Genomic DNA, 12555 nt, shown 5'->3' with positions numbered 1-12555 from the left:
CCACTCCACAAAAGCCCTAGGACACAGCTCAGTTCCTCCTTTTAAGAAAAAAAAAAAAAAAAAAAGGAAACAAATAATCTAAGAAGGCGGAGAAAACAAGAAGAGTAACCCCTTTTGGGGCACTCTTAGTGTTATGGCACCTCTACTTGTTAGAATTTGTGTAAAATGGAAATATTATGGTCTTTGTGCACAAGATGACCACTGCATTAAGGAAAAAGAGCCCAAAGGTCCACAGAATTTCTAAGTTCTCTTTCTCTCTATTTTCTTTTCTGCTTGCTTTAACTCTGCTGTTACTTTTCTACTGAGATAAAAACCACTGTTTAGATCCAAACTTTTTTTTTTTTTGCAAGCCAGTGAATTTGTGTTTATCTCATGGCTAGAGTTCTGAAGTAAAAGCTATAGGATCTCTCTCTGTGTGTGTGTATGTGTGTCTGTGTGTGTGTATTTCCTTTATGATAGATTTCTATAATTTTATGTTTAACTGGCAATTAAATCAGTTTTAACTTCCCTCTAGCACACCAGACTTTTTCCTCTCTGAATTTAGAGATGTAAATTTTGCTATCTGATTTTTCACCTAAGAGTTGTTTGCTTTAACATGCAAATTAGCCAGGCATGGTGGCCCATGCCTGTAATCCCAGCACTTTGGAAGGTTGAGGTGGGCAGATCACCTGAGGTCAGGAGTTCCAGACCAGCCTGGCCAACATGGCAAAACTAAAAATACAAAAATTAGCTGGGCATGGTGGCACATGCCTGTAATCCCAGCTACTCGGGAGGCTGAGGCGGAAGAATCGCTTGAACCCAGGAGGGGGAGGTTGCAGTGAGCCAGTATCGCGCCATTGCACTCCAGCCTGGGCAATAGAGCGAGATTCCATCTAAAAAAAAAAAAAATGCAAATTTAGGGCTAGTCAGCTGACAATTCCCTAGAGTAAAGAAACAGGTTATCAAGAATTTGCAAGTCTAAATAGGGGGAAAAAAAGAGGTCTTATGAGTCTATAAGATGTACTTCTATTGGCATGCCTAATACGTCTATGTATTTATGTGTTGTATACACAATGTTTCACTACTAAAAATGTATGAGTTCTAATTAACTGGCTTAAAGAAAAATAAAAGTGCTTAAATCAAATACTTTATCAAAAAAGAAAGACTAATCAAATGCTTTTTCAAGATTGCATGACTTAAGTAAACTCTTTTTTTTTTTTTTTGAGGTAGAGTCTCGCTCTGTCTCCAGGCTGGAGTGCAGTGGCGTGATCTCGGCTCACTGCAACCTCCATCTCCCAGGTTCAAGTGATTCTTCTGCCTCAGCCTCCTGAGTAGCTGGTACTACAGGTGCGCACCACCATGCTCAGCTAATTTTTGTATTTTTAGTAGAGACGGGGTTTCACCGTGTTGGCCAGGATGGTCTCAATCTCTTCACCTCATGATCTGCCCTCCTCGGCCTCCCAAAGTGCTGGGATTACAGGCTTGAGCCATTGCGCCCAGCCTAAGTAAGCTCTTTAATAAATAAGCTGACTTTAACATTATAGGTAAAATAACATTAGAAATGTTTTAAGAATTGTTAGCATTTTTGTTTGCATTTATTGATCAAGTGGTTTAGTGCTTATTCGATATCACAGTTAATCTAGGAAAACTATTAAATAATCAGGTAAATGTAATGGAATAAATGCTTGAAAAACAAACTTGTCATATAATTTGAGATCTAAGATTAATAATAGATACTAAGTGTCCAGGCAATTTTCCAATTTAAAAATTATAGGAAAACTTTTTTTTTTTTTTTTTTCCAGACAGAGTCTGGCACGTTCGCCTGGGCTGGAGTGCAGTGACACCATCTTGGCTCACTGCAAGCTCCGCCTCCTGGGTTCACGCCATTCTCCTGCCTCAGCCTCCCGAGTAGCTGGGACTAGAGGCTCCTGCCACCACGCCCGGCTAATTTTTTGTATTTTTAGTAGAGACAGGGTTTCACCAGATTAGCCAGGATGGTCTTGATCTCCTGACCTTGTGATCCGCCGCCTCAGCCTCCCAAAGTGCTGGGATTAGAGGCATGAGCCACCGCGCCCGGCCAGGAAAACTTTTTTTTAAAAGATGTCCTTAGGCCAGGCGCGGTGGCTCTTGCCTGTAATCCTAACACTTCGGGAGGCCAAGGCGGGCAGATCACTGAGGTCAGGGGTTCGAGACCAGCCTGACCACCATGGAGAAACCCCGTCTCTACTAAAAATACAAAAAATTAGCTGGGTGTGGTGGCAGACTCCTGTAGTCCCAGCTACTCGGGAGGCTGAGGCAGGAGAATGGCGTGAACCTGGGAGGCGGAACTTGCAGTGAGCCGAGATTGTGCCACTCCACTCCAGCCTGGGCGACAGAACAAGACTCCATCTCAAAAAAAAAAACGAAAACAAAAACAAAAAACAAAAAACAAAATTAGCCTGGCGTGGTGGCACATGCCTGCAATCCCAGCTACTCCAGAGGCTGAGGCAGGAGAATCACTAGAACCCAGAAGGCGGAGGTTACAGTGAGCCAAGATCATGTCATTGCACTCCAGCCTGGGCAAAAAGAGCAAAACTCAGTCTCAAAAAAAAAAAAAGATGTCCTTATTGCTGGGTGAGGTGGCTCATGCCTGTAATCCCAGCACTTTGGGAGGCCGAGGCGGGTGGATTACCTGAGGTCGGAGTTTGAGACCAGCCTGGCCCACATGGTGAAACCCCATCTCTACTAAAAATACAAATCTTTAATAAAAATGAAGAATGGAGAGAGAAAAAATTGGCTTCAAAAACAACTATAGTACACCTGTTGTTAGTTGTTCTTAAGTTTTTTTTTTCCTGCAATTTGGACTAAATCCTAAATTATTTGTGGGTTACAAGTCCCCAAACTAATGCTTTCAAATCTTTACTTTTAATACTGGGAATTTTATTCCTCATCCTAGAGCTCATTATTTACCTAATAGTACACTGTTCCCCTAAATACTATACTAAAACTGTAGATGAGAATACTGGCCAGGCACAGTGGCTCACACCTGTAATCTCAGCACTTTGGGAGACCAAGGTGGGTGGATCACTTGAGGCCAGGAATTTGAGACCAGCCTTGCCAACATGATTAAACCCTGTCTGTACTAAAAATAAAAAAATCACTGGGCACGGTGGCTCACGCCTGTAATCCCAACACTTTGGGAGGCCGAGGCGGGTGGATCAAGAGGTCAGGAGTTCAAGAGCAGCCTGGCCAAGATGGTGAAACCCCCTCTCTACTAAAAATACAAAAATTAGCCGGGCGTGATGTCGGGCACCTGTAATCCTAGCTACCCGGGAGGCTGAGGCAGAGAACTGCTTGAACCTGGGAGGCAGAGGTTGCAATGAGCTGAGATCGCGCCACTGCACTCCAGCCTGGGTGACACAGCGAGACTCCGTCTCAAAAAAAAAAAGAAAAGAAAATACGCAGGTGAAGCTGCCCCCAGGCAGGAAGAAAGGCAATGTGGAAGCTCAGAGCAGAGGTCTTGAGTGGAGAGGGATCTGGGAGCTACTCTGAGTTGGAAAAAGACCGAGGATAGGCCCAACTGCTGCAGGAGAGCGCATGCCGGGGGCTAAGCAGTGCAGAGGAGACAGCAGGTGCAGCTGCCCTGGGAGAAACAAGCAGGAGACAGAGCAGGTGTGTGTCCTGAGGAGGCGAGGCCCACAACATCAAAGGCCCCGAGCAGTCCAGGAGAATGAGGAACGAGAAGACACCAGTGGCCATGGGGATCAGGGGCCACTTGGAGACAGCAGATTTGGTGGCAAAGGGGAGTTGAAGAAATAGAAAAAGTGAAAATAGCCCTTTCTTGAAAAAGCTCAGTTGTCAAAGCAGGTGGAAAATGGACCCTGGGCTGGAGGAATCCAAAGAGTTGAGGGGTTCTGAGGAAGTGCGTGTTTGGAGACCAACAGGAGGCAACCAAAGGAAAGAGAGAGATGCCGGGTACAGTGGCTCATGCCTGTAATCTCAGAACTTTGCGAGGCTGAGGCAGGAGGACCACTTGAGCCCAGGAGTTCAAGAGCAGCCTAGGCAACATAGTGAGACCTGGTCTCTACAAAAACTAAAAAAGTTAGCCAGACATGGTGGCGCGTGCCTGTGGTCCTGTAACCACCCAGGGGTTCACCTTACCCGCTGCTAGACAGTGTCAATTCATGAAGACATGGGAAGTGCAATAGAGAAAGAGTAATTCATGCAGAGCCGGCTGTGCGGGAGGCTGGAGTTTCATTATTACTCAAATCAGTCTCCCTGAGCATTCAGGGAGCAGAGATTTTAAGGATAACTTGCTGGGTGGGGGAAGCCAGTGAGCCGGAGTGCTGATTGTTCAGGGATGAAATCATAGGGAGTCGGAGCTCTCTTCTTGCACAGAGTCAGTTCCTGGGTCGGGGCTGCAAGATCAGCTGAGCCAGTTTATCGATCTGGGTAGGGCCAGCTGATCCATCAAGTGCAGCGTCTGCAAAATATCTCAAGCAGTGACCTTAGGAGCAGTTTAGGGAGGGTCAGAATCTTGTCCCCCTCCAGCTGTGTGACTCTTGAACCATAATTTCTAATCTTATGTCTAATATTAGTCCTACAAAGGCAATCTAGAGCCCAGGCAAGAAGGAGGTCTGCTTTGGGAAAGGGCTGTTACTGTCTTTGTTTAAACTATAAACTAATTTTCTCCCAAAGTTAGTTCAGCCTACGCCCAGGAATGAACAAGGACAGCTTGGAGGTTAGAAGCAAGTTGGAGTCAGTTAAGTTAGAGCTCTTTCACTGTCCCAGTCATAATTTTGCAAAGGCAGTTTCAGTCCCAGCTACACAGCTACCCAAGAGGCTGAGGCAGGAAGATTGCTTGAGCCTCCAGAGGTGGAGGCTGCAGTGAGCCGTGACATGCTACTGCACTCCAGCCTGGGCAATGGAGTGAGAGTCTGTCTCTAAAAGTAAAAATAAGAGGGAGGAAGGTTGAAGCAGGTTCACTTATCATGCATGAAATACGGGTGTGCTACTCTAGAGGGCATGTGTTTAGTGTCTCAGGTTTTTTTTGGTTTTTTTTTTTAGACGTAGTCTCTCTCTGTCGCCAGGCTGGGGTGCAGTGGCGCGACCTCGGCTCACTGCAACCTCTGCCTCCTGGGTTCAAGCGATTCTCCTGCCTCAGCCTCCCCAGTAGCTGGGACTACAGGCACCTGCTACCACACCTGGCTAATTTTTGTATTTTTTAGTAGAGGCGGGGTTTCACTATGCTGGCCAGACTGGTCTCAGACTCCTGACCTCATAATCCGCCTGCCTCGGCCTCCCAAAGTGCTGGGATTACAGGCATGAGCCACCACACCTGGCCGTGTCTCAGGTTTAAATGGCCTTCACATTCTGGGGTGAGGCTGAGCAGCGGACTCTGATCACAGAGAAAATGAAATCCAGCACTAAAGTAACTCAGTCGCTTTTGACTGAAGAAAGCTATTGCAGTTTTGTATAATTTGTGAATAAGTGGAAATTAAAAGGAAAAAAGAGAAATCACATTTAAAAATAGTCATCTCACGAAAGCAAGTTAGGCTCATTTGTGACTAAATAAAAATTTTCAGTAAAGTAACGTAGTACTTTGTCTTACTATAGTAAAGAGGAAAGAATCAATTTTCATTCCACTCTTATTCTTGGATTTAAAGTCAGTTTCTGGTGCTTTTTCTGCTTGGATAATGAATCAATGTTCAATCTGTCCAAATGGCTGAGAACATGTAGGAAGTTCTTTAAAAATAAATTAGGCCGGGCTTGGTAGCTCATGCCTGTAGTCCCAGCACTTTGGGAGGCTTAGGTGGGCAGATAACTTGAGGTCAGGAGTTTGAGACCAGCCTGACCAACATGGTGAAAACCCATCTCTACTAAAAATACAAAACATTAGCTGGACATGGTGGCTCGTGCCTGTAATCCCAGCTACTCAGGAGGCTGAGGCAGGAGAATAGCTTCAACTCAAGAGGTGGAGGTTGCAGTGAGCCGAGATCATGCCACTGTACTACAGCCTGGGTGACACAGAAAGACTCCATCTCAAAAATAAAATACAATAAAATAAAAATAAAAATAAGAGCCGGGTGCACTGGCATGTACCTGTAGCCTTCCAGCTACTTGGGAGGCTGAGGCCATGAGGATTGCTTGAGCCCAGGAGTTAGAGGCCAGCCTGGGCAACATTATGAGATCCCATCTCAAAGAAAAACAAGTAATAACAACATATTAAACCAGACTCTTTCCTGTTGTTAACAGGAGAAGGCAAGGAAGAACTTAGTTTGGAGAAGCTAGAGTACCCAGAGTGCTAGGTCACGGGGTCAAGGTTGAGGATGGGGGTCCAGTTTCCAGATTAGACCCTCTGGAGTTTGAGGCCCCAGTGGCTACCCCAACTGTGCCAAGCTCCTTTTGAAGTTGGCTCCTAGAAAACTTCTTCTAGCCTTTAGGACTCCTGCCTAATTTTTTGCCACTCTGTGCTCCAGCTACACAGAACTATTTTGAGTTCCCTAAAGGATCATGTTCTGTCACCTCCAGGTCTTGGCACAGCCTGTTTCCTGTTCCTGCACACTCCCCACTCCTCCACCCTCCCACACTGAGCCTTGCCTGGCTACTGTCTGCAGGTCCTTCAGTGCACAAGCTGCTTCCTCTCAGAACTTTCTCTGATCTCCCCAGTAACCATCTCTGGGCTCCCACAAGACCCTCTTCTTCACCCACTTTTTTTTGTTTGTTTGTTTGTTTGAGATGGAGTCTTGCTCTGTCGCCCGGACTGGAGTGCAGTGGCACGATCTCAGCTCACTGCAACCTCCACCTCCTGGGTTTGATCAATTCTCCTGCTTCAGCCTCCCAAGTAGCTGGGATTACAGGTGCCTGCCACCACACCCAGCTTATTTTTGTATTTTTAGTAGAGACAGGCTTTCACCATGTTGGCCAGGCTGGTCTCAAACCCCTGACCTCAAGTGATCCTCCTGCCTCAGCCTCCCAAAGTGCTGGGATTACAGGTGTGAGCCACCGTGCCCGGCCCCTTCTTTGCCCACTTCTCACCCTTTATGACATCTGCCTCTTTTGTCTGTCATTCCCTCTAGAGTGTAGGCGCCTTCAGTTAAGGAACCATTTGGAGTACCTTCCCAGCACTGAACCCAGGGCAAAGCCCTAGAGAGACAAGGTGACAAGTCAGGTCAGGCCTCTGCCTGAGGTTGCCTGGAGCCTTGCATTGTCACTGTGTCCTACGGGGCCAGGGGATCAGGGCATGGACTCTCTCCTACTCTATCCCCAGCACCAAGCACAGGACTTTTTGTTTTGTTTTGTTTTTTTGAGACCGAGTTTCACTCTTGTTGCCCAGGCTGGAATGCAATGGTGCGATCTGGGCTCACCGTAAGCTCTGCCTCCCGGGTTCAAGCAATTCTCCTGCCTCAGCCTCCTGAGTAGCTGGGATTACAGGCATGAGCCCCCAATCCCCCTGGCTAATACTGTATTTTCAGTAGAGATGGGGTTTCTCCATGTTGGTTAGGCTGGTTTTGAACTCCTAACCTCAGGTGATCCACCCATCTGAACCTCCCAAAGTGCTGGGATTACAGATGTGAGCCACCTTGCCTAGCATTTTTTTTTTTTTTTTTTTCAGATGGAGTCTCACTCTGTCACCCAGGTTGGAGTGTAGTGGCATGATCTTGGCTCACTGCAACCTCTGCCTCCCAGATTCCTGCGATTCTCCTGCTTCAGCTTCCCAAGTAGTTGGGAGTATAGGCACATGCCACCAGGCCTGGCTAATTTTCGTATTTTTAGTAGAGATGGGTTTTCACCATGTTGGCCAGGCTGGTCTCAAAATCTTGACCTCAGGTGATCTGCCTGCCTCGGCCTCCCAAAGTGCTGGCATTACAAGGACTTCTTTTTTTCTTTTTCTTTTTCTTTTTTTCTGTTTTTTTGAGACAGAGTCTCACTCTGTTGCCCAGGCTGGAATGCAATGGCACGATCTCTGCTCACTGCAACCTCCGCTTCCTGGGTCCAAGCGATTCTCCTGCCTCAGCTGGGATTACAGGCACATGCCACCACGCCTGGCTAATTTTTGTATTTTTAGTAGAGATGGGGTTTCACCATGTTGGTCAGGCTGGTCTCGAATTCCTGACCTCGTAATCCACCCACCTCGGCCTCCCAAAGTGCTGGGATTACAGCCGTGAGCCACCACACCCGGCCTACAAGGACTTCTTAATACCTAGTAGATGCCAATAAATATTTTCTGAATGAGCAAGTGCAGAAGAGAAAATATGACAGCGATGACTGAGGCGTAACTGACTTCATCTGTTCTCAGGCCACATTCTGCCCCTTGGGTGAACCTGACTGTTCCCTGAGTCGTCGCTGAAGTCAGCTTTCTGGCCAGTTCCTCAGAGGAAGAAGTGAAGCATGGAGCCACCCAAGCTGCCCAACCCCAGCTGCTGAGGGCCTGCCTCAGGTCCCATGGCCAAAGAACCTGCTTCTTCCAAGGCTGTCAGTTGTCCCATTTTCGGCACCCTTGCTGATCACACCCTCGCTGGTCACACCACCTACTTTCTGCTTCCCCAACCTTGGTTCTCATCCCTGTAACATAAGCATCATTTTTATGCTGACCCTGAGAGAGCAAACCCCCCATCACACTCTGGAGGGTGTGGGGGGTGAAAGTCAACACCTTCAGTCTCTGGTGGAGGCTTGTGACCTCTGACATCCCTCATTTGCCTCCGTTTTCCAGTGCACCCCACTGCTGCATCCACCAAAGCAGTTTCGAGTGCCTGCTTGCGTGCCTGGTACCACAGCAGGTGCTGGGGATAGAATGCGGAACAAAAGAGGCCTCCACGGTCCTTTTCCTGCAAACTGTAGTTTACAATAAAAGTAAACTATATTCACGTATAACTATATGGTCTTGAATTATGATGAGGGCAGTGAAGAAACTAATTGAGTGCCGCGTGAGAAATGAGGAAAGGGACCTTCTTTAGATGGGTGGCCAAGAGGAGTCTTTCTGATGAGTTGATGTTTTGGCTGAGACCCCCACCCCAAATGTCTTCCAAATGATAATAATCTCTTCCCTCACTGGGTCCCTATGGGGTCCTGGAACACTACAGTGTCCTGAGAAGTGCACAGGGTTTTGGATAATTCAGGCCGGGGTTCACCTCCCAGCTCTGTCCTTTCACGCAGAGGAACTTCTCAACGTCCTCCCCTGTGAAATGGAGACAGCCACCACCAGAGGGCAGTAGTGAGGACTACGTGAGAAGAGGTGTGTAAGGCCCCGTTGGCTCAGACCTGCCGAAACACTCAGGGAGGGGTCTCATTCCTGAGCCCCTGCTCCCATGCCTGTTTCCACCGCCCGCAACCTGCGGGGACCTTCCCACCCTCAGACCTCATCTTGACAGTTTATCCCTGTCACTGGCCTCATCCCTAGTTTGGCTGGTCCTGCCCCTCCCCGTACCCAGTTAGGACAGTTGGTCTGACGTGTCTCCACCTTCTCATCTCACCCTTAACTTCAAAGGGTCCCCAAAGCTTTCACAACTCTCACGCTTCTCCCTCACTGTCATTGGGAATCTCCTCCATTCTAGGGCTTCAAAATTTCCCCAGGTGCAGTGGCAGGAGGATCACCTGAGGTCAGGAGTTCGAGACCAGCCTGGCCAACATGGTGAAACCCCGTCTCTACTAAAAATACAAAAATTAGCTGGGTGTGGTGGTGGGCGCCTGTAGTCTCAGCTACTTGGGAGGCTGAGGCAGGAGAATCGCTTGAACCTGGGCGGTGGATATTGCAGTGAGCCAAGATCGTGCCATTGCACTCCAGCTTGGGCAACAGAGTAAGACCCTGTCTCGAAAAAAAACAAAAACAAAACAAAAAAAATCCGTATCTTCATGGGAGACCTTTCTCACCACACTGCTTCCTCATGGTCATCTCTGAAAACAACCCCAGGAACCAGAGCGCCCCATAGTAACTTGGGCTCCGCCGTGTGATACTGTCCCCGGAAGCTGACCAACCTGATGCAGACATGTGATAGAAGATCATCTCTGGGTCAATAAGCACATGAAAAGATGCTCAACATAGTTAACTATCAGGAAATGCAAACCAAACCCATGGTGAGATACCACTTCGCACTTGCTAGGATATTTAAAATTGGAAAGATAAATAATAACAAGGATGTGGATTTTTTTTTTTTTTTTTGAGACAGGGTCTCACTCTGTCACCCAAGCTGGAATGCAGTGGCACCTGCAGCCTTGAACTCCCAGGCTCAGTGATCCTCCCACCTCAGCCTCCTGAGTAGCTGGGGACCACAAATGTGTGCCACCCTGCCCAGATAATGTTTTTTGGTAGAGATGGGGTTTTGCCATGTTACCCAGGCTAGTCTCAAACTCCTGGGCTCAAGTCATCCTCCCACCTCAGCTTCCCAAAGTGCTGGGATTATAGGCATGAGACATTGTGCCCAGCCTTGATGTTTGGCTATCCTTCCAAAGCTCTATCAACCAGGTTCTCTTCTCTCACGATTCTCTCTGCTAATGATGACTCTGTAGCCCGGAAATCATGAGGAATGGCAAGTCCATAAACTTCTGCCAACTGAGTTGCCCAGAGCTGCCCAGTTTCAACTCTTTTGAGACCCTTCCTTGGATTTTCTGAATCACCCCATAACACCCCAATAAACCCATCATTTTGATTTGTATAGCCACACCCACTTCCCTCCAGCCCCACCCCCTCCCTAACCTCTGCCAACCACTAATATTTTCCATTTCTATAATTGTGTCATTTTAAGAGGGTTTTTAATAAACAGAACCATGCAGTTCTGTAACCTTTGGGGGCTGGCTTTTTTCCCTCAGCATGATTCCCTGGAGATTCATCCTGGTTGTTTTGTGTATGGGTAGTGTGTTCCTTTTTATTTATTTTTTATTTTATTTTAATTTTTTTGAGATGGAGTCTCACTCTGTTGCCTAGGCTGGCATGCAGTGGTGTGATCTCAATCACCACAACTTCTGTCTCCTGGGTTCAAGCGATTCTCCCGCCTCAGCCTCCTGAGTAGCTGAGATTACAGGCATGCACCACCATGCCCGGCTAATTTTTGTATTTTTAGTAGAGATGGGTTTCACCACGTTGGTCAGGCTGGTCTCGAACTCCTGACCTTAAGTGATCCACCCGCCTCAGCCTCCCAAAGTGCTGGGATTACAGGCGTGAGCCACTGTGCCTGGCACATGTTTCATTTTTATAAGAAACTGCCAAACTGTTTTCCAGAGTGGCTGTATGATTTTACATTCTCACCAGACATATATAATTGATCAGTTTCTCTGCATTCTCACTAGCATTTGGTGTTGTCCTTATTTTTCATTTTTTCCATTCTGAGAGGAGTGCAGTGATATCTCATTGTGATTTTAATTTGCATTTCCCAAATGGCTAATAATAATGTTGAACATCTTTTCATGTGCTTATTTGCCTTCTGTATATCCTCTTCAGTGAAATCTCTTCATGTCTTTTGCCCATTTTCTAATTCTATTCTTGTTTTTTTGCTGTTGAGTTTTGAGAGTGCTTCATATTTCTAGTTACTAGTCCTTTTGTCAGGTATGTGGTTTGCAAATATTTTCTCCCAGTCTGTAGCTGTAGCTTGTCTTTTTATCCTCTTTACAAGGTCTTTTGCAGAGCAAAAGCTTTTAATTTTGACAAAGTCCAATATATAAATGTTTCCTTTTATGAATCATGTTTTGGGGGCTAAGTTTAAGAGCTCTTTGTCTCACTCTAGATCCCAAATGTTTTCTCCTGTGCTTCTTTTTTTTTTCTAAATTTTTTATAGAATTGTTTTTAAAATATGAAATGCTTCACAAATTTTTATATCATCCTTACATGGGGCCATGCTAATCTACTCTGTATCATTCCAGTTTTGGTTTATGTGTTGCCAAAGTGAGCAGAAAGTCTTATGGTCTTATGTTTACATTTTAGTCTGAGGTCTTTTTTTTTTTTTGAGACAGGATTTTGCTCTGTCACCCAGGCTGGAATGCAGTGATGCAGTCATAGCTTGCTGCAGCCTCCATCACCCAAGCTCAAGCGATCCTTCCACCACAACCTCTGTAGTAGCTGGGACTGCAAGTGTGCCCCACAATGCTCAACAAATTTTTGTGTTTTTTGTAGAGACAAGGTCTTGCCATGTTGGTCTCAAACTTCTGGCCTCAAGTGATCCTCCCTCCTTGGCCTCCTAAAGTGTTAGGATGACAGGCGTGAGCCACCACGTCTGGCACTGAGGTCCATTTTAAGTTAATTTTTGTACAATATATGAGACTTATGTCAAAGTTTTGTTGTTTGGTTGATTTTGGGGCCTATAGATGTCCAGTTGCTTCAGCACCATTTGTTGAAAAGACTTGTCTCCATTGATTGCTTTTGCACCTTTGTCAAAAATCAGCAGTCAAAAATAGTTGTGTGGCTCTGTTTCCGAGTTCTGTGTTCTGTTCCATTGATCTGTGTGCTATTCCTGGGCCAGAACCACACTGTGACCATATAACAGGTTTTGAACTTAGGTAGACTGATTTTTCTCTAAAATTAGCTAAATTTTAATAAACCATCTAAAATTATTCTAGCTATTCTAGTTCCTTTGCCTTTCCACATAAATTTTAGAAAAGTTTTGTCAA

At 46.3% G+C, this 12555-nt stretch overlaps 1 protein-coding gene and 1 pseudogene across 1 annotated transcript in view, besides 6 other annotated features; one reads left to right on the top strand and one right to left on the bottom strand.

Annotated features, from left to right (window-relative positions):
- The window catches only part of TRIM14 (tripartite motif containing 14), an 83426-nt gene extending 75152 nt beyond the window's left edge, over nt 1-8274 (top strand). Inside the window, exon 7 of the mRNA XM_047424162.1 lies at nt 8258-8274. The gene's annotated coding sequence lies outside the window, so the exon portion shown is untranslated. The remainder of the gene's footprint in view (nt 1-8257) is intronic.
- Nucleotides 3680-3759: an enhancer, noted in NCBI's record as "active region_28684". NCBI's record gives its function as "activates an Ori minimal core promoter by ATAC-STARR-seq in GM12878 lymphoblastoid cells {active_cell/tissue: GM12878}" and the evidence as "EXISTENCE:reporter gene assay evidence [ECO:0000049][PMID:35858748]".
- Nucleotides 6482-6531: a silencer, noted in NCBI's record as "silent region_20111". NCBI's record gives its function as "represses an Ori minimal core promoter by ATAC-STARR-seq in GM12878 lymphoblastoid cells {active_cell/tissue: GM12878}" and the evidence as "EXISTENCE:reporter gene assay evidence [ECO:0000049][PMID:35858748]".
- Nucleotides 7365-8564: an enhancer, noted in NCBI's record as "P300/CBP strongly-dependent group 1 enhancer chr9:100797789-100798988 (GRCh37/hg19 assembly coordinates)". NCBI's record gives its function as "activates an origin of replication core promoter dependent on BRD2, BRD4, P300/CBP, MED14 and CDK7 cofactors, with strong dependence on P300/CBP, by STARR-seq in HCT116 cells {active_cell/tissue: HCT116}" and the evidence as "EXISTENCE:reporter gene assay evidence [ECO:0000049][PMID:35650434]".
- Nucleotides 7897-8036: an enhancer, noted in NCBI's record as "active region_28683". NCBI's record gives its function as "activates an Ori minimal core promoter by ATAC-STARR-seq in GM12878 lymphoblastoid cells {active_cell/tissue: GM12878}" and the evidence as "EXISTENCE:reporter gene assay evidence [ECO:0000049][PMID:35858748]".
- Nucleotides 8117-8186: an enhancer, noted in NCBI's record as "active region_28682". NCBI's record gives its function as "activates an Ori minimal core promoter by ATAC-STARR-seq in GM12878 lymphoblastoid cells {active_cell/tissue: GM12878}" and the evidence as "EXISTENCE:reporter gene assay evidence [ECO:0000049][PMID:35858748]".
- Nucleotides 9157-9266: an enhancer, noted in NCBI's record as "active region_28681". NCBI's record gives its function as "activates an Ori minimal core promoter by ATAC-STARR-seq in GM12878 lymphoblastoid cells {active_cell/tissue: GM12878}" and the evidence as "EXISTENCE:reporter gene assay evidence [ECO:0000049][PMID:35858748]".
- Nucleotides 11736-11841, bottom strand: RNU6-918P (RNA, U6 small nuclear 918, pseudogene; annotated as a pseudogene).

This window comes from Homo sapiens, chromosome 9 (genome assembly GCF_000001405.40).
Source record: "Homo sapiens chromosome 9, GRCh38.p14 Primary Assembly".
Classification (NCBI taxonomy): domain Eukaryota; kingdom Metazoa; phylum Chordata; class Mammalia; order Primates; family Hominidae; genus Homo; species Homo sapiens.
The sequence above is the reverse complement of the archived record's forward strand: the minus strand, read 5'-3'. Positions and strand labels throughout refer to the sequence as shown.